The 20,620-nt window shown below is 43.5% G+C and overlaps 1 long non-coding RNA gene across 2 annotated transcripts in view, besides 4 other annotated features; it reads left to right on the top strand.

Annotated features, from left to right (window-relative positions):
* The window catches only part of LINC01418 (long intergenic non-protein coding RNA 1418), a 107,448-nt gene extending 91,483 nt beyond the window's left edge, over window positions 1-15,965 (top strand). For both annotated transcript variants that reach the window (XR_001751640.2, XR_001751639.2), the window contains one exon: window positions 15,731-15,965. This is a non-coding gene — a long non-coding RNA (long intergenic non-protein coding RNA 1418). The remainder of the gene's footprint in view (window positions 1-15,730) is intronic.
* Window positions 3,999-4,599: an enhancer, noted in NCBI's record as "OCT4-NANOG-H3K27ac-H3K4me1 hESC enhancer chr15:82163454-82164054 (GRCh37/hg19 assembly coordinates)". NCBI's record gives its function as "activates a minimal SCP1, AML or CMV promoter by ChIP-STARR-seq in primed H9 embryonic stem cells {active_cell/tissue: H9 hESC(primed)}" and the evidence as "EXISTENCE:reporter gene assay evidence [ECO:0000049][PMID:30033119]".
* Window positions 4,600-5,201: an enhancer, noted in NCBI's record as "OCT4-NANOG-H3K27ac-H3K4me1 hESC enhancer chr15:82162852-82163453 (GRCh37/hg19 assembly coordinates)". NCBI's record gives its function as "activates a minimal SCP1, AML or CMV promoter by ChIP-STARR-seq in naive and primed H9 embryonic stem cells {active_cell/tissue: H9 hESC(naive and primed)}" and the evidence as "EXISTENCE:reporter gene assay evidence [ECO:0000049][PMID:30033119]".
* Window positions 9,460-9,539: an enhancer, noted in NCBI's record as "active region_9958". NCBI's record gives its function as "activates an Ori minimal core promoter by ATAC-STARR-seq in GM12878 lymphoblastoid cells {active_cell/tissue: GM12878}" and the evidence as "EXISTENCE:reporter gene assay evidence [ECO:0000049][PMID:35858748]".
* Window positions 9,590-9,699: an enhancer, noted in NCBI's record as "active region_9957". NCBI's record gives its function as "activates an Ori minimal core promoter by ATAC-STARR-seq in GM12878 lymphoblastoid cells {active_cell/tissue: GM12878}" and the evidence as "EXISTENCE:reporter gene assay evidence [ECO:0000049][PMID:35858748]".
* Window positions 15,966-20,620: the final 4,655 nt, after the last annotated feature.

The following is a 20,620-nucleotide window of genomic DNA, read 5'->3' as shown; positions in this document are numbered from 1 at the left end:
AGAAGCTCTTTAGTTTAATTAGATCCCATTTGTCAATTTTGTCTTTTGTTGCCATTGCTTTTGGTGTTTTGGACGTGAAGTCCTTGCCCATGCCTATGTCCTGAATGGTAATGCCTAGGTTTTCTTCTAGGGTTTTTATGGTTTTAGGTCTAACGTTTAAGTCTTTAATCCATCTTGAATTGAATTTTGTATAAGGTGTAAGGAAGGGATCCAGTTTCAGCTTTCTACATATGGCTAGCCAGTTTTCCCAGCACCATTTATTAAATAGGGAATCCTTTCCCCATTGCTTGTTTTTCTCAGGTTTGTCAAAGATCAGATAGTTGTAGATATGCGGCGTTATTTCTGAGGGCTCTGTTCTGTTCCATTGATCTATATCTCTGTTTTGGTACCAGTACCATGCTGTTTTGGTTACTGTAGCCTTGTAGTATAGTTTGAAGTCAGGTAGTGTGATGCCTCCAGCTTTGTTCTTTGGGCTTAGGATTGCCTTGGCGATGTGGGCTCTTTTTTGGTTCCACATGAACTTTAAAGTAGTTTTTTCCAATTCTGTGAAGAAAGTCATTGGTAGCTTTATGGGGATGGCATTGAATCTGTAAATTACCTTGGGCAGTATGGCCATTTTCACGATATTGATTCTTCCTACCCATGAGCATGGAATGTTCTTCCATTTGTTTGTATCCTCTTTTATTTCCTTGAGCAGTGGTTTGTAGTTCTCCTTGAAGAGGTCCTTCCCATCCCTTGTAAGTTGGATTCCTAGGTATTTTATTCTCTTTGAAGCAATTGTGAATGGGAGTTCACTCATGATTTGGCTCTCTGTTTGTCTGTTGTTAGTGTATAAGAATGCTTGTGATTTTTGTACATTGATTTTGTATCCTGAGACTTTGCTGAAGTTGTTTATCAGCTTAAGGAGATTTTGGGCTGAGACAATGGGGTTTTCTAGATATACAATCATGTCGTCTGCAAACAGGGACAATTTGACTTCCTCTTTTCCTAATTGAATACCCTTTATTTCCTTCTCCTGCCTAATTGCCCTGGCCAGAACTTCCAACACTATGTTGAATAGGAGTGGTGAGAGAGGGCATCACTGTCTTGTGCCAGTTTTCAAAGGGAATGCTTCCAGTTTTTGCCCATTTAGTATGATATTGGCTGTGGGTTTGTCATAGATAGCTCTTATTATTTTGAAATACGTCCCATCAATACCTAATTTATTGAGAGTTTTTAGCATGAAGGGTTGTTGAATTTTGTCAAAGGCCTTTTCTGCATCTACTGAGATAATCATGTGGTTTTTGTCTTTGGCTCTGTTTATATGCTGGATTACATTTATTGATTTGCATATATTGAAGCAGCCTTGCATCCCAGGGATGAAGCCCACTTGATCATGGTGGATAAGCTTTTTGATGTGCTGCTGGATTCGTTTTGCCAGTATTTTATTGAGGATTTTTGCATCAATGTTCATCAAGGATATTGGTCTAAAATTCTCTTTTTTGGTTGTGTCTCTGCCCGGCTTTGGTATCAGAATGATGCTAGCCTCATAAAATGAGTTAGGGAGGATTCCCTCTTTTTCTATTGATTGGAATAGTTTCAGAAGGAATGGTACCAGTTCCTCCTTGTACCTCTGGTAGAATTCGGCTGTGAATCCATCTGGTCCTGGACTCTTTTTGGTTGGTAAACTATTGATTATTGCCACAATTTCAGCTCCTGTTATTGGTCTATTCAGAGATTCAACTTCTTCCTGGTTTAGTCTTGGGAGAGTGTATGTGTTGAGGAATTTATCCATTTCTTCTAGATTTTCTAGTTTATTTGTGTAGAGGTGTTTGTAGTATTCTCTGATGGTAGTTTGTATTTCTGTGGGATCGGTGGTGATATCCCCTTTATCATTTTTTATTGTGTCTATTTGATTCTTCTCTCTTTTTTTCTTTATTAGTCTTGCTAGCGGTCTATCAATTTTGTTGATCCTTTCAAAAAACCAGCTCCTGGATTCATTAATTTTTTGAAGGGTTTTCTGTGTCTCTATTTCCTTCAGTTCTGCTCTGATTTTAGTTATTTCTTGCCTTCTGCTAGCTTTTGAATGTGTTTGCTCTTGCTTTTCTAGTTCTTTTAATTGTGATGTTAGGGTGTCAATTTTGGATCTTTCCTGCTTTCTCTTGTGGGCATTTAGTGCTATAAATTTCCCTCTACACACTGCTTTGAATGCATCCCAGAGATTCTGGTATGTTGTGTCTTTGTTCTTGTTGGTTTCAAAGAACATCTTTATTTCTGCCTTCATTTCGTTATGTATCCAGTAGTCATTCAGGAGCAGGTTGTTCAGTTTCCATGTAGTTGAGCGGTTTTGAGTGAGATTCTTAATTCTGAGTTCTAGTTTGATTGCACTGTGGTCTGAGAGATAGTTTGTTATAATCTCTGTTCTTTTACATCTGCTGAGGAGAGCTTTACTTCCCAGTAGGTGGTCAATTTTGGAATAGGTGTGGTGTGGTGCTGAAAAAAATGTATATTCTGTTGATTTGGGGTGGAGAGTTCTGTAGATGTCTGTTAGGTCCGCTTGGTGCAGAGCTGAGTTCAATTCCTGGGTATCCTTGTTGACTTTCTGTGTCGTCGATCTGTCTAATGTTGACAGTGGGGTGTTAAAGTCTCCCATTATTAATGTGTGGGAGTCTAAGTCTCTTTGTAGGTCACTCAGGACTTGCTTTATGAATCTGGGTCCTCCCGTATTGGGTGCATATATATTTAGGATAGTTAGCTCTTCTTGTTGAATTGATCCCTTTACCATTATGTAATGGCCTTCTTTGTCTCTTTTGATCTTTGTTGGTTTAAAGTCTGTTTTATCAGAGACTAGGATTGCAACCCCTGCCTTTTTTTGTTTTCCATTGGCTTGGTAGATCTTCCTCCATCCTTTTATTTTGAGCCTATGTGTGTCTCTGCAAGTGAGATGGGTTTCCTGAATACAGCACACTGATGGGTCTTGACTCTTTATCCAATTTGCCAGTCTGTGTCTTTTAATTGGAGCATTTAATCCATTTACATTTAAAGTTAATATTGTTATGTGTGAATTTGATCCTGTCATTATGATGTTAGCTGGTTATTTTGCTCGTTAGTTGATGCAGTTTCTTCCTAGTCTCGATGGTCTTTACATTTTGGCATGATTTTGCAGCGGCTGGTACCAGTTGTTCCTTTCCATGGTTAGCGCTTCCTTCAGGGGCTCTTTTAGGGCAGGCCTGGTCGTGACGAAATCTCGCAGCATTTGCTTGTCTGTAAAGTATTTTAGTTCTCCTTCACTTATGAAGCTTAGTTTGGCTGGATATGAAATTCTGGGTTGAAAATTCTTTTCTTTAAGAATGTTGAATATTGGCCCCCACTCTCTTCTGGCTTGTAGGGTTTCTGCCGAGAGATCCGCTGTTAGTCTGATGGGCTTCCCTTTGAGGGTAACCCGACCTTTCTCTCTGGCTGCCCTTAACATTTTTTCCTTCATTTCAACTTTGGTGAATCTGACAATTATGTGTCTTGGAGTTGCTCTTCTCGAGGAGTATCTCTGTGGCGTTCTCTGTATTTCCTGAATGTGAACGTTGGCCTGCCTTGCTAGATTGGGGAAGTTCTCCTGGATAATATCCTGCAGAGTGTTTTCCAACTTGGTTCCATTCTCCCCATCACTTTCAGGTACACCAATCAGACGTAGATTTGGTCTTTTCACATGGTCCCATATTTCTTGGAGGCTTTGCTCATTTCTTTTTATTCTTTTTTCTCTAAACTTCCCTTCTCGCTTCATTTCATTCATTTCGTCTTCCATCGCTGATACCCTTTCTTCCAGTTGATTGCATCGGCTCCTGAGGCTTCTGCATTCTTCACGTAGTTCTCGAGCCTTGGTTTTCAGCTCCATCAGCTCCTTTAAGCACTTCTCTGTATTGGTTATTCTAGTTATACATTCTTCTAAATTTTTTTCAAAGTTTTCAACTTCTTTGCCTTTGGTTTGAATGTCCTCCCGTAGCTCAGAGTAATTTGATCGTCTGAAGCCTTCTTCTCTCAGCTCGTAAAAATCATTCTCCATCCAGCTTTGTTCTGTTGCTGGTGAGGAACTGCGTTCCTTTGGAGGAGGAGAGTCGCTCTGGGTTTTAGAGTTTCCCGTTTTTCTGTTCTGTTTTTTCCCCATCTTTGTGGTTTTATCTACTTTTGGTCTTTGATGATGGTGATGTACAGATGGGTTTTTGGTGTGGATGTCCTTTCTGTTTGTTAGTTTTCCTTCTAACAGACAGGACCCTCAGCTGCAGGTCTGTTGGAATACCCTGCCGTGTGAGGTGTCAGTGTGCCCCTGCTGGGTGGTGCCTCCCAGTTAGGCTGCTCGGGGGTCAGGGGTCACGGACCCACTTGAGGAGGCAGTCTGCCCGTTCTCAGATCTCCAGCTGCGTGCTGGGAGAACCACTGCTCTCTTCAAAGCTGTCGGACAGGGACATTTAAGTCTGTAGAGGTTACTGCTGTCTTTTTGTTTGTCTGTGCCCTGCCCCCAGAGGTGGAGCCTACAGAGGCAGGCAGGCCTCCTTGAGCTGTGGTGGGCTCCACCCAGTTCGAGCTTCCAGGCTGCTTTGTTTACCTAAGCAAGCCTGGGCAATGGCGGGCGCCCCTCCCCCAGCCTCGCTGCCGCCTTGCAGTTTGATCTCAGACTGCTGTGCTAGCAATCAGCGAGACTCCGTGGGCGTAGGACCCTCCGAGCCAGGTGCGGGACATAATCTCGTGGTGCGCCGTTTTTTACGCCGGTCCGAAAAGCGCAATATTCGGGTGGGAGTGACCCGATTTTCCAGGTGAGTCCGTCACCCCTTTCTTTGACTCGGAATGGGAACTCCCTGACCCCTTGCGCTTCCCGAGTGAGGCAATGCCTCGCCCTGCTTCGGCTCGCGCACGGTGCGCGCACCCACTGACCTGCGCCCACTGTCTGGCACTCCCTAGTGAGATGAACCCGGTACCTCAGATGGAAATGCAGAAATCACCCGTCTTCTGCGTCGCTCACACTGGGAGCTGTAGACCGGAGCTGTTCCTATTCGGCCATCTTGGCTCCTCTCCCCAGATTGTCATTTTAGAACTGTAACTTTCTGGAGTGAGAAGGGAGAACTGAAATCTGACGCAGTGAGCGAAATGAGAACAGGGGTTCAGAAGAGAGAGTGGATTTGGGGAATGCGTTCCTGAAGGAAAATGGGCAGGACTTACTGGGTATAAAGGGGAGGGTGAAGAAGTCTAGGGTCATCTTGGTTTCCATTTTAGGAATATGACGTTGGAGCAACTCCGTTAAATGAAATAGAGAATAGTGCCACAATAAACATATGTGTGCATGCGTCTTTATAGCAGCATGATTTATAATCCTTCGGGTATATACCCAGTAATGGGATCGCTGGGTCAAATCGTATTTCTACTTCTAGATCCTTGAGGAATTGCCACACTGTGTGTGGGGAACATCACACACCGTCTTGGGCCTGTTGTAGGGTGGGGGGAGGGGGGAGGGATAGCATTAGGAGATACACCTAATGTAAATAACAAGTTAATGGGTGCAGCACACCAACATGGCACATGTATACATATGTAACAAGCCTGCACGTTGTGCACATGTACCCTAGAACTTAAAGTAGAATAATAATTAAAAAAAAGAGATAGAGAATGGGGAGGGCATGTGTCAGTCGTCATTCTGGTCAGAAAAGATGACATACTCCAATTAAGTAACAGGAGGAGCATTTAATAAAAAGGCTGCTTGAAAGGTGCGGGCAGGTGTAGGGTGATGTCCCAGAGACAGTGCATGGCCCTGTGGCTTTGGCAGTGGGGCTGTGACTCCTGAAGGAGAAAAGAGAAGGGAGCAGTTGCTGGAATCCGGGGGGCTCTATGCGATGAGGGCTGCATGACAGCGGCTGTGCCTTTCACTAGAGGGACACAGCCAAGTGGACCCAGCCAGCCCACACGGCCACAGCAGATGGTGACTGAGGAATCAATACACTTACCTCACTCTCCTGTCTTCTTCCAGCTTTCTGCTGGGACTCTCCACTGGGTTCTTCAAACATAAGCTAGAGGCATGGGAGTCCAGGGAGGCCATTCACAAAGGTCAGCCTCTCGGAGTGCAGAGCAGGTTGGGGAAGGGTTGCAAGTGGAACTAGAAGGGCAAGCAGGAGACATCCAGCAGTGGGATTTTGCTAATGAGCTCTGTTTTCATCTGTATGGATTTGTGGTGCCTGTCACTATACTAGTCTAGAGCTTGGAAAAAAGATTGGGTTTGATTTGTAGCTTGGGAAGCATCAACCAAAATGCACGTGACGTGCTTAACACAGTGACTGGCAGAATGTGCACACTCAATAATTACCAGCTGTTGTTACTTATTGCTAAATGCTGCATAGAGGTGAAATTCGTGCCCATAAGACATGAGGAAATGTCAGGATTGAATCCAGATTGCAGAGAGTTGAGTTGTGAAGGAGAGGTGAAGTGGTTGTAGTATGTGTACACTACTCTTTTAAGAATTGTAAGGTCAGGCATGGTGGCTCATGCCTGTAATCCCAGCACTTCGGGAGGCCGAGGCAGGTGGATCACCTGAGGTCAGGAGTTCAAGACCAGCCTGGCCAACATGATGAAATCTCGTCTCTACTAAAAATACAAAAATTAGTCAGGCATGGTGGTGTGTGCCTGTAATCCCAGCTACTCAGGAGACTGAGGCAGGATAATCGCTTGAACCCGGGAGGTGGAGGTTGCAGTAAGCCGACGCCAAGATCATGCCATTGCACTCCAGCCTGGGCAACAAGAATGAAACCCCGTTTCAAAAAAAAAAAAAAAAAGGCCAGGCAGGGTGGCTCATGTCTGTAACCCTAGCACTTTGGGAGGCCGAGGTGGGTGGGTTGACGGAGCTCAGGAGTTCAAGACCAGCCTGGGCAAAACGGTGAAACCCGGTCTCTACTAAAATACAAAAGAAATTAGCCGGGCATGGTGGCTTACGCCTGTAGTCCCAGCTACTTGGGAGGCTGGGGCAGGAGAACTGCTTGAACCTGGGAAGTGGAGGTTGCAGTGAGCCGAGATTGCACCACTGCACTCCAGCCTGGGTGACAGAGTGAGACTCTGTCTCTACCAAAATAATAATAACAATAATATTAATAATTTGGGCCAGGCATGGTGGTTCATACCTATAACCTCAGCACTTTGGAAGACTGAGGCAGGAAGATCACTTGAGGTCAGGAGGTAGAGACAAGGCTGGGCAACATAGTGAGACCATGTCTCTACAAAAGTAAAAAACAAAAATAAAAAGAATTTTGATAGTGAAGACCTGAAGAGAAATACAGCAGTAGTTTCTGGAAAAGGGAGGAGAGAAGGTTGGAGGAAGGTGCTCTGTTTCCTAGGCGTGGGATACAATTGAGCATGTTTATGGGGAACAGAAGGAGCCATAAGAGAGTCAGCCAAAGAGACAGGAAAGAGGAAGGAGGGTATTGATGGGGGTGACATCCCGAAGAAAGAGTAAAGGGAGGAAGATAGGTAGGATGATGGCAATGAGATGATGATAGTGAGGTTGCTGCTGATGGAGATGATGGAGAGAAAGAGGAAGAGGAGGAGGAAGAACCGGAGGAGAAAGAGATGGCATCAGAGCCTAGGTGAGAGCATTAGCCTTGAGCAGGGGAGGGACTCTTTTGTAAGACACAGGGCAGCAAATAAAGAGAGAAGTAGATATGATACTTGAGGGGCAAGGGGAAATAAATTAAAGGAGCTCTTACTAGACAGTCAACATTTCCTGTCTATTACGGGAAGAGATGGGATAATAGAAAAGATAAGGATAATACTAACTTTAGCTACCATTGAGACTCATTGAACCAGGCACCTTTTCTTAGATTAAATTCATTTCATCCTCACAGCAACCTCATAAGAAAGCACTATTATTATCACTTCCATTTTATACATGAGAAGCTGATGTAGGCATGGAATTTAAGCAATAGACAAAGGCTTGAAAAGAAATATAGAGCATGATTCTGCTGGAACAGGGATGACAAGAAAGTGGCATATTTGCCAACCACCCTCTCTGCACCATGGCAGACACCATCTCTCTACTGTGCATAAGGGAGTGTTCTAGGCAGTCACCCTGCTGGTAGGGACAGATGCCCTAAAATCTCTTTGTCTGTCCCCATTCTAAGAGGTGGCCAGAAGAGCCTGAGGACTGAGAGGCACTGTGGACACCAGACGACAAGTTCACATTAGCCTCTGGGTCACTTTGGTTTGCATGCATTCAGTCCACTGGACAGTGGGGAGCAGTTTCTTCATGCTTTACTAAACCTTCCTTTCTCTCTCTCTCTCTCTCTTTCTGAGTCTCTCTCTCTCTCTCTCTCTCTCTCTGAGTCTCTGTCTCTCTATCTCTCTCTGTCTCTCTCTTCCTTTCTCCTCCTGTCTCTGGATCATCAAACCTATTTCTCCTTTGGTAGTTTGGGACTCATTCAAGCCCCTCAATCACCTTCAACTCAAAATACATATCAAGTTATTTTCCTTAATGAACACAGTTGCCTTCCCAAAAGAAATGCTAGAACCAGCTGTTACTTTGATAAGACTTTTTTCCCCTCACTTCATTACACTTGTTTCTTCCCATTCATTTAGCACAACAGAGTTGAACAGTTTAAAGAACTCTCAGGACCCGGCCTTGCATTAGGAACCTGGAGTCTCTGGTATTAAACTTAAAACTCAGGCTGCCAGGTCATGCTTGGCAAAGGACATTGACCCAGCCCTGAATGTCCCGGAATGGGCATCCATTACCTTCTCAGGCTGTGTGCTGTTGTGTGTGTCCCAGGGTGACATGGCCACTCAGCCTCCGCCATCTTCCCAGGATGGCAAAGGTGAATGCGTGCCTCCACTTCACTTTGTTATGTTCTTCAAGCGGAACTTACCATAATGCTTGCTTTGGTCCTTGGTTTTCATTCATCCTTGTGCTTGAAACTTCTCAGTGAGAAACCTGGGATGCCCATGGATGCCGGGTGAAGCTCTTTGTAACTCAAAGTCACCCTTATGGTTTAGGACAGTGTTTCCCTCGTGCGCTCCCCTGATGACAAGCAAGAAGATTTTAGGTAGTACATACAGGAATGTCTTTTTTATTGTAATGGTTACTTATTTTCATATTTTACTTTCCATTTAAGACAAATTATACAGGTTCCTGTTTGTGGCAGGGATATAAACTTTCTTTTTAAAACAATTTTATTTAAGTAAAGACATTAAGCAAACTTAAAAATAATGAGAGTGGAGGGTTGTGGTTATTACTAAGTCCTTGAAATGCTAAGGGAATGATAATATTCAGAGGAACCCTGGTTCGTTACATTGGAAAGTAGGATTTTTGCTGCCTCTTTTTCAGTTCCTTTTGCATCTGTCACTTGCTGGCTTAGAGGGTACCGCCTCTCGAAAATCTCAGGTCATGCTTTGGTGATCATCAGTCACAAACTTCCTCCAGGGGTTTCAGACAGTGAGTCCCATGGTGAGAACGCTGCAGAAAGAATAAAGACTCAGAGTTAGGAGTCTAAGGAGCTCTCTCTGCTCTGCACTAAACCTTTATATGCCTTTGACCAGCTACTTAAGTCCTCCAGAGGTCAGTGTTCTTTTCTCAAGGGGTGAGCTGATGGACTCCACGATCTCTAGGCTTCCTTCTGCTGTATCTCTTTAGTTCCACCTTCTCCCCAACACAATTGCCTTGCAGGGTCTGGGCGGACACAGCCCAGAAAAGCAGTGTGCTAGAGCACCACCTTCATTCTCCTGTTGATGTGCACGTGTGGATGCATGCCTGGGGAAATCTTACAGGGACAGGTTTTTCTAGACTTTGGGGCTAGAATTTTTTTTTTTTGTTTTTGAAATGGAGTCTGGCTCGGTCGCCCAGGCTGGAATGCAGTGGCGCGATCTCGGCTCACTGCAAGCTCCGCCTCCCGGGTTCACGCCATTATCCTGCCTCAGCCTCCCGAGTAGCTGGGACTACAGGGGCCCACCACCACACCCTGCTATTTTTAGTAGAGATGGGGTTTCACCGTGTTAGCCAGGATGGTCTGGATCTCCTGACCTCGTGATCCGCCCGTCTCGGCCTCCCAAAGTGGCTCCCTGAGCCACTGCGCCCGGCCCATTGGGGCTAGAATTTAGCGTTATCTAAGACTCTCAGATCCTTGGGGAATAGAGAGCTATCTTATTGTTTTTTACATAATTGAAGTCCCTTTGGTGCTGGAGACCGTAGGCTGTCTTAAAAAGTCCATTTTCCCTTTTCCATAGTAATAGATGTGCAGCTGGGCCCATGGCTGTCTAGGTAGGGATGCATTTCCCAGAATCCCTTGAGGCCATCTGGCTCTGTTCTCTCCCATGGAACGGGGGTGGAGGTTATATTTCACTTCGGGAGGGACAGACTAAGGCAGAAGGAGTCCTCTTTCCCTTTCTGCAGCTGGACCCTGGATTGGTCTACATACCTTGGACTTAGTGGATGAGGACAACATCCTTGGGATACATGGCCATTGGAGCAGAGCTTCCTGAAGTGCTCATCTTGAACTGTTATGTGACAGAGAACTAAACTTTACTGTTATTTAAGCTACTGATATTTGGGGATCTCCTGATTCCAATAATATATTATCTTCTAATTAATACATACTTTCAACACCAATCAAATGTTGCGGCCTTCATATCTGCACCTCTCTTTTATTTTTCAATTTTCAATCAACTCTATTTTAGAGTAGTTTTAGGTTTATGGCAAAATCAAGTGGAAAGTAGAGAATTCCCATATACTGTCACCCCTCACATATGTCACACACGCATGGCTTCCCCCACTATCAAAATCTTGCACTAGAGTGGTACATTTGTTACAACTGATGAACCTGCACTGACACAACATTGTCACCCACAGTTTACATTAGAGTTTACTCTGGATGCTCTATATTCTATGGGTTTGGACAAACGTAAATGACTTGTATCTACCATTATAGTATTGTACGAAATAGTCTCCCATAAAATCCCTCCTCTCTTCAACCCCTGGCAACCTCTGACCCTTTTACTGTCTCCATAGTTTTGTCTTTTCCAGAATGTCATATAGTTGGAATCATACAGTATGTAGCCTTTTCAGACAGGCTTCTTTCACTTAGTAATATGCATTTGAGGTTCCTCCATATCTTTTCATGATTCATTTCTTTTTAGCACTGACGAATATTCCATTGTCTGGATGTACCATAGTTTATTCATCCATTCACCTACTGAAGGGCATCTTGACTGCTTCCAAGTTTTGAGAATTATAAATAACACTGCTATAAACATCCATGTGCAGGTTTTGTGTGGGCAAGAGTTTTCAACTCCTTTGGGTAAATACCAAAGATATGATTGCTGAATTTTATGGTAAGAGTAAAAAAACGTCAAATTGTCTTCCAAAGTCACTACACCATTTTGCATTCCCAGCAGCAATGAATGAGAATTCCTGTTTGTTATAAACTGAATGTTTGTGTCCCCCCGCAAAGTAATATGTTGAAATCCAAACCCCCAACCTGATGATATTAAGAGATGGGGCCTGGGCTGGGCACGGTGGCTCACGCCTGTAATCCCAGCACTTTGGGAGGCCGAGGCGGGCAGATCACGAAGTCAGGAGATCAAGACCATCCTAGCTAACACGGTGAAACCCCGTCTCTACTAAAAATACAAAAAATTAGCCGGACGCGGTGGCGGGCGCCTGTAGTCCCAGCTACTCGGGAGGCTGAGGTAGGAGAATGGCGTAAACCCGGGAGGCGGAGCTTGCAGTGAGCCGAGATGGCGCCACTGCACTCCAGCCTGGGCGACAGAGCGAGACTCCATTGGAAAAAAAAAAAAAAAAGAGGTGGGGCCTTTGGGAGGTAATTAATGCCATGAATGTGGAGCCCTAATGAATGGGATAGTGTCTTTTAAAAAAACATGAGAGCTCGCTCTCTCTCCCCCGCCCCCTCTCTCTCCCGCCCCCTCTCTCTCCCGCCCCCTCTCTCTCCCGCCCCCTCTCTCTCCCGCTTTCTCTCTCGTCTCTACCAAGTGAGGGAACAGCAAGAAGACAGCCATCTGCAAAGAAGAGGGCTGTCACCAGACACTAGCTCTGCTGGCATCTTGGACTTCCCAGCCTCCAGAATGGTGAGAAATAACTATTTGTTGTTTCAGCCACCCTGTCTACAGTAATTTTTTCTAGCAGCTTGAACTAAGGGGTGCCTCACATCCTCACCAGAACCTCTCCTTTTGCATTAAGCAATTTTTATCTTTTATCACAGTGACTTACTATAAGGTTCTTGAAGGCAGAGTGTGTGACTAACTCACATTTTTATCATCAGGAGCACATAGAGGTTGTCTATACATACTTAAATGGCAATAAGAATGCACAAATCAGGAGAAATAAGCTGGCCAGTCATTCTAGCCACGTGGAAGCCTGGTGTAATGGAGTAAACCGTGGAGGATGAGTCAGAAGAGTTGGTTTAGTCCTAGCTCTGCTAGTGGTGTCCAGAGAACCTCAGTTTCCTATACTTAAAATAAAGACATTGCATCAGGAAGTTTCTCAGGTCTTGTCAACCTCTAACAATCTGTAGTTCAAGGTTCTGTCTGACTAGAACACGTTTCCTTTGCCCCATCCCTTAGCTGTGATGGAAGGAGTCACTCTCTCTTCCAATTTCAACCTAAAGATCACTTCCTCCAGAAAATCTTCCCGCCCTTCTCCCCCACCTCTCCTAGATTAAGTTAATGCTTTTTATTGCCCATATTACATATATTTTTCACATCACAATAATCACCCCATTCAATAATACTTATTTGTCTGATTCCAAGTATAGGCTTTCTGAGGGCTTGTTTAAATTGCTTCTATTATCTCCCCTGTTCCTAGCATAGCATCTGACCCAGAGTAGGGGCTTAATATATATTTTTAAAATGAAAAAGAAATAAATGGATGAATGAAGGAATACATGGGTCAAAATTTTTTTTTCCTGTTTAATAGAAACCCTTTCGCCCTGACTAAATATTTATTTTCTTAGTTTTCTTGGATCTCAGATGCAGTTTCCTTCTGGGGTAATTTGCATAGCCATGGAGAAAAAATACAGTATATGCAAACCAGGATAAGGCTCTATTTTGCTGACTGCACCTTCATCCTTAGTATCTAGTGGGCTAGTTTAGCCTTACCTTAGCGTTATAACAACACACTGTGTGCCTCTAGGCAGTTGACAAGAAAGATAATACAAACTAATAACCATTAAAATTATACAAAGACTATTTAAACTTACTCCTAAATTCATGCTTCAGGGATTTGCTTGAAAGGGAGTAAATGAGAACTCAGCTGATATCTCAAATCCCATCCTAAGAGAATTAACTCCCTAGAATCTAAATCAAGCCATTAGACTCTGCTTCTAATTTAGATCCAGCCATTGTTTAGATTAAATGAGTTACTAAGGTGGAAACGGAAAGGAGAAAACATTTGAACTTGAATCCACACAAGTGGGAATGTTACCCAGTTGTAGACTCTTTGTCAGTTATTCTAACAACTGGGTTGTATGTTACTTCACTAATTGCATTTGTGAAGATTATGTTCAAGAAATAAAAGCCAGATTGTCTTTAGAGACTATTGGTGTCAAGCTGTAAAATTGCAGCTTGATCCTTCAGAAGTGGGTTACAACTAGAATATGATCTATTTAACAAATAATGTGCCATTGACAAAATAGTTAATGGGAAGGGGGAGGAACCTTCTTTTCACACTGTACTTTTCCTGATTGGCAAATGTAATCACTGTGGACCTGCAGCGTAGTTGGAATCTGTGTTCTGCTTCCTCTCCTTTTCCCATTTGTGGTGGAGATAGATGCAAGGCAGCACTCTGGAGGCTAAGGTGGGGTGCTAAGGAAATGGCTTGACTTTTTTTTTTTAAGTAAAAAAGAGGCCCAAAATGGTCTATTTTGGTGGTTCTCAACTGGGGGCAATTTTGCTTCTTACCCCATCCCAGGGGAGGTTTGGCAGTGTCTCAGGACATTTTTGGTTGTCACAACTCAGAGAGTGCTACAGATATCTACTGGGTAGAGGCCAGGGATGCTCTAAGGTTCATGGGATAGCCCCTACAACAGAGAGTTATCCAGCCCAATATCAACAGCGCTGGTCTATTCTATTAAGAACCCTGGTCTACTGTGCTAGAAAAAAAATGCCTCCAGCATCTCTTTGGCATCACTGCATTAGAGCGCAGACCTGTAGACCTGCTGTCATGTTGGGCAGGCCCAGGCATAAGGCACAGAGGACCTTGGTGAAATGGGCAGTCAGGAGGAGACAAACCCAGCCCTGGGCTGGGGGAGCTGCCTTGCTATGCTGCTGCTCCCTGTGGTGGGAATTAGCTCTTCATTGAATTATTATTAGTGATATTATTTTTGAGACAGAGTCCCACTCTGTCTCCCAGGCTGAAGTGCAGTTGTGTGATCACAACTTACTACAGCCTTGACTTTCTGGACTCAAGAGATCCTCCCACCTCAGCCTCCCAGGTACCTGGGACCACAGGCATGTGCCACCATGCCTGGCTAATTGAAAAGTATATGTATATTTTTTGGTAGAGACAGGTCTCCTTATGCTGCCCAGGCTGGTCTCGAAATCCTGGGTTCGTGATCCTTCCACCTCGGCTTCCCAAAGTGCTGGGATTACAAGCGTGAACCAATATGTCCAGCCTGGAATCAACTCTTTAATACATAATGTTCTAGGGAATCTAGTTGGTTCTGGAAGGCCTTGTCATCTGAAAGGTTGGATTGGGAGGCTGGAACGTGATACTGTTGTTTTGTAGAAAGAATCTTGACTTTGGAGTCAGATACAATTGGATTTACATCTGAGATTCATGCTAGTTGTGTGACCAAAATGAACATACACTATTTTATCATTTCTAAGTCACTTTTTCTACATTTTAACATTTCTTAAATTGAGTGACCTCTTACCACTGATAGCCTGCCATAGTTTAATTGGAAGTGACTCTTTTTTTCTTAAACAAATATAAAACTAATTATATTTGTTAGCAAGTTGTGGTTTCTTAGCTTCAGTGAAATGTGACTATGATAATACCTCATGGGCAGGTCTAAATCAATATGCTTAGCAAACCCGAAGTTTACCAGCGTAGTGGAATTAGCTGGGAAAACAGCCCCTGTCTAAGAGGTTTTAAAATTGCTTCATTCCTTCTATTCAAAGTTCAACCCTCATCCTGGGGAAGGAAATGGATTCTCATTTTTGTGTCTTAGTTGATACTTAATACGTTCCAGGCCCCTCTTCTTTGAAGTGTGTGCTCTGTGTGTGTGTGTGTGTGTGTGCATACATGCATGAATACCCGTTTGCGTGCACAGATCTGTAGCAGCAAAACTCTTTGTACACCACATTCACAGGAGAAGCCAAGGCTCCCAAACGTACCCTTTTGCCTGGTCAAGATGAGCTCAGGAGCTGTGCTGTGCTGAGGCTGTGGTAGGCAAAGGCTTTTAACACCTGGAATGAAGCTGAGCAAGAGATGGCAGAAGCCAACACCTGCGGTCAGAGCCAGAGCTGTGTGTGTGCCACAGCCCTGTCAGTTACAGGATTCTGCCCTGGAAGACTGTTTTCTAGTTTAGTGTGAGAGAAGGTTGGGGATAGATTAAATGCTGGTTTTGAAAATTAATATGGAAATGGCCAAACTGCATGTTGCTGGTTTACTCTATAAATTTTTACTTGATTTCTGGACATGGCAATAGAAGCTATTAATAGCCACACTCTGCTATTAAAAGTTGTTTACAATGAACCTGAATGGACTCCTGTGTTGCAGGAAACCTGTGCCCCAGCACCTGTCTGCTTCTGTCATGGGGTTGTACTCCAGGAACCATCGTGCACCTGGCAGCCCTCTCACCCTGCAGGCAGCGAGCCCGGGGAGCCATAAAGAACTTCTTTTAGAATGGATTCACTGACTGAAATCACGCTTTGGGTAATTTTTTCTCTGTAGCAAGGCACTTGAATGTCATCTTTAAGATCCATTGAATCTAATAAATACTGTCTGGAAGTCATATACGTACAACTGAATCTTCCCAGTATAGGGAGAATTGGACAGAATGAGGGTTCAACCTTCTCCTAATCTTGACTTTGTCATCCCCTGTATGACCTTGGCCAGTTTCTTTAACCTCTCTGGGCCTCAGTGTTTGTACAACGGTGCAACTACTGCTAATGCTACTACTACAACTAGCACCAATTCATACTGTGAGAGTCAGATGAGATAAGATGAATAAAAGTGTTTAAAAAATATAAGTATTGGCTGGGTGTGGTGGCTCACACCCATAATCTCAGCACTTTGGGAGGCCGAGGTGGGAGGATCGCTTGAGCTCAGGAGTTTCACTCTAGGAATTCGAGACCAGCCTGGGCAATGTAGTGAAACCCCATCTCTACAAAAATTACAAAAAGTTAGCCTGGTGTGGTGGCTTGAGCCTCTAGTCCCAGCTACTCAGGAGGCTGAGGTGGGAGGATTGCTTGAGCTCAGAAGGTCAAGGCTGCAGTGAGCTGTGATCCATACCACTGCACTCCAGCAGCACTCGGGCAACCAAGTGAGACTCTGTCTCCAAAAAAAAAAAAAAAAAAAAAGAAAGAAAAGAAAAGGGAAAAAAAAGTAAACATTGCCCCTTCTGTATGAAAGACATTAGAAATTCGACTTGCTGTTTATTCTTGCTTACAAAGACATAGTTTTTTTTGTCTTGTGTTCTGGTACCTTCCCTCTATTTTGGTCCAAATGTCTATATGTAAGTCTGTCCTCCATTAAGCAAGAAGAGCATGACCAAATTTTTCAGACAGGTGTTGTTGGCATATCTGGTTAAATTGAGCAGGGCTAGTGCAGCATCAATCATGACTTTTTCTAAAGAGCAGTGTGTGGGAACATCCCACTTTCTTGCAGCCAGTTCTCAGCAAACATTCATATCCACAAACAAATATCCTTGACCTCAGAAGAACTTAAAGACAACTGTCCCCTGAGCTCACCCGTGTGTAGGGTTTAGCCCGGGCCCTGAATTTCAGTGGCATCTCTTTGCCCCCTGCCCATAGCTGACTGAGGTTTCTTTCCATCAGCACTGAGAGAACCCCAGGACATGGGAAGGTAACATGATATTTCACAGGAAACCAGAAAATATTCTGGCTCGATGGCCTTTGTTCCTTCTCACATTTCATGACTGCAGTTTTGTGCCTAGGCTGAGGAAGTCAGCTGCTGACAATTTGGTTTAGATCTGAGTAAAAAACATGATTTTTACTTCAATTCTTACCAAGATTGCTGAAAAATGATCCACCAAGCAGGCTGGCTGATTGGCGAGCAATGGAAATTGCAGTTTCTCTACTGTGAGCCTCGTCACTCTGTGGGCTTGGTACAGACGGATGGAAACTCGGGCTTGGCAGTTGCGGGTCACTCTCCCATTAGACAGCCTGGATCTGAGCTTGGACCAGGCAACTGGATAGGAGCAGGGTGATGTAAGAGGGAGGGCTTGCTCGGGAGCTCAGAACTGATGGCAATATTGCCCTTTGGCCCTTCCAAATCAGATTGTCCTATGCTCTTTCCAAATTGGAGGAGAATCTAATAAGGGATTGATTTTTTTCCTGCTTACTTATAATAACATTTTCTTAAAAATAATTTCTGGAGGTCACCTGTGAATGATCCCTTGTATTTATAGCCTTGATAGTATTATTAAAGTCTGAAGATTGATATATTTTGGCTTAGAGGATGTCATTATGTACCTCTGGGCCTCAGTTTGCTCGCATATCAATGTTAGGCTCTGGTTGGTGTATCTTCAATGTCTTCTTCAGTTTTTTTTCTAATTGTGGTAAAACACACATAAAATTTACACAATATATAAAAATGGTTAGAGCATAACCATTTTTAAGTGTACAGTTTAGTCGTTTTAAGTACATTCACGTTGTTGTGCAACCACACCACCACCCATCTGTAGAACTCTTTTTATCTTACAAACTGAAAATCTATATCCTTAAACAACTTTCCATTTTCTCTCTCCCTACAGTCCTTGGTAATCACCATTCTGCTTGCTGTTTCTGTGAATTTAGATTCTAGATACCTCATATGGTGGAAACATACAGTATTTCTCTTTTTGTGACTGGCTTATTTCACTTAGAACAATGACCTCAAGGTTCATCCATGTTGTAGCCTGGGTCAGAATTTCCTTCCTTTTTAAGGCTGAATAATATTCCATTGTAGGTATATAACACATTTTGTTATCTTTTTGTGACTGGCTTATTTTTCTTAGAACAGTGACCTCAAAGTTCATCCATGTTGTAGCCTGGGACAGAATTTCCTTCTTTTTAAAGGCTGAATAATATTCCATTGTAGGTATATACCACATATTGTGTATTCATTCATCTGTCCATGGGCACTTGGCTTGCTTTCACCTTTTGGCTATTGTGAATAATGCTGCTCTGAACATGAGTGTCCAAATATCTCTTCAAGACCTTGCTTCCAATTCTTTTGGGTAGATACTCAGAAGTAGAATTGCTGGATCATATGGTAGTTCTATTTTTTGTTTTTTGAGGAACCATTATGTTGTTTACATAGCAGCTGCACCATTTTACATTCCCACCAACAGTGCACAGGGGCCCAATGTTTCCACATCCTTGTTATTTTCGTACTTTTAAAAACTAGGTGCCATTCTAATGGGTATGAGGTGGAATGTCCCCTGCAGTTTTAAATGTTCGGTAATCCTGCAACTTATTTCCCTGCTCCCCTACCCTTTCTGTTACCAACAAACTAATTCTTATGTGAGAATAAGATTTTTCTCATGATCTTTGCTTTTTTTCACACCATCATCACCATAAAAACCCAACCAAAAATGGATGCCTTGAATTTTAATTTTATGGCTTTCTCTTTCCTTCCTTGGGAAACCAGTTTCTGTGGTTCTCATATGGAAATAGTTTACACATGCTCACTTATTTGTTCAGCAAACATCTGAGTGCTTGCTGTGTGCAAGAAACTGTGTTCAATACTGTGAAGACTACTGAGATAAACCAGACAAGGCTCTGCCATGAGAAGTTCCCCATTTGATTTGTAGTGGAGGTAAGACAAGAATGCCCATAACTGTAGCAGTAAGTGGCAAGTTAGTCCTGTGAAAGACAGAGGAGGCCCATGGGACATAGGGTTCTGATTATTACATTTGGCAGATGTAATGAACACGATCAACTTTCCACTGATCAAGCTGATATTTCCAAAGTGCGTATGTTAGAATTTTAGTTTTTTGAGATATTCCTTGAAAAAAAAAAAGGGAGGGGCTCCTTTGGCAAACATGTTTGGGAGAAGTTGCATTCCATCATGCTGCCTTGGAGATCATAATGCAGAGCAGCAGAGTAAAGGCTCCGGGAAGCCTTATAGCCAGCTGCCTGCAACATTTCATGGAAACCCCATCCAGACCTCCATTTCGTAGTTGGAAAAATGCCCATTCATATCTTTTGAAAAAGCAAATGATATGGTTTGGCTGTGTCACCACCCAAATTTCATCTTGAATTGTAGCTTCCACAATTCCCATGTGTCGTGGAAGGGATCCAGTGGGAGGTAATCGGCTCATGGGGGCGGGTCTTTCCTGTGCTGATCTTGTGATAGTGAATACATCTCACGAGATCTGATGGTTTTATTAAGAAGAGTTCCCCTGCATGACTCCACTGTTGCCTGCCACCATGTAAGACGTCTCTTTGCTCTTCCTTCGTCTTCTGCCATGATTGTGAGACCTCAGCCATATGGAACTGTGAGTTCATTAAACTACTTTTTCTTTATAAATTACCCAGTCTTGGGTATGTCTTTACTAACAGTGTGAAAACGGACCAATACAGCAAATGATAAGAAATGCAGTGGAGGTGGCTCAAGAATGGGCTTGCAGGTCAAAGAGCCTGGGTGGATTTCCCAGCTTTCTTCCTTTTTCCTCCCCGGGGATTTTGCTTCCCACTCTCCAGCCCCTTGATGTGAACATTAGTCATATTAATGTCAGAGCAAATATGCTAATGAGTCCTTACTTACTAACAGTATGATCTCAGGCAAGTTCCTTAATTTCTTTGTGCCTTAGTTTTCTCATCAGTAAAATGGACATAATCATAGTGCCTTCCTCATGGGGTTGGAACCAGGCCTAAGTGAATTGATATTTGTAAATCTCAGAACAATGTCTGGCAGTAGTAGGTGCTACCTAAATATTTGTTAAATGCAATAAACAAGGGACTTGTATTCAGTAGTAAAGCAGCACTCCTAGCCCCTCACTTAGGGCCTTGGATCTCAGTCACATCTTATTCCCATGTTTTTCAATCTGGGGCTCCAAATTGATGCTTAAAAAATTTCAGGGTTGTAGTCATGTGTAGCTGAAGATGGATGTGTCCAGCCTGTTGCCTCTTTTTGAAATTGTCTAGTTCCAGCCTATATCAACACATTGTTGGTCCAGATGGGAGACAGGAGATGGCTAGAGATCATCTAGTCCAATTGTTCTTATTTATAGAGCCCTGGAGGGGATGGGATTTGTTCAGCTCAGACAGCTCTTGTCTGAAGAGCCAGGGAAAGAGATAGGGGGTTCTTTAACTAGAGTAATTTTCAACACATCCCTCTGAGTACTTTGCTGGGGGTCTGATACAAGTTCTGCCTTGGGACTTATGGAAAGACTGATGGCAGAAGGCTTCCACCTGGCTGTCTAGAACACCTACCCATAAA

Source organism: Homo sapiens, chromosome 15 (genome assembly GCF_000001405.40).
Source record: "Homo sapiens chromosome 15, GRCh38.p14 Primary Assembly".
NCBI classification, from domain to species: domain Eukaryota; kingdom Metazoa; phylum Chordata; class Mammalia; order Primates; family Hominidae; genus Homo; species Homo sapiens.
The sequence above is the reverse complement of the archived record's forward strand: the minus strand, read 5'-3'. Positions and strand labels throughout refer to the sequence as shown.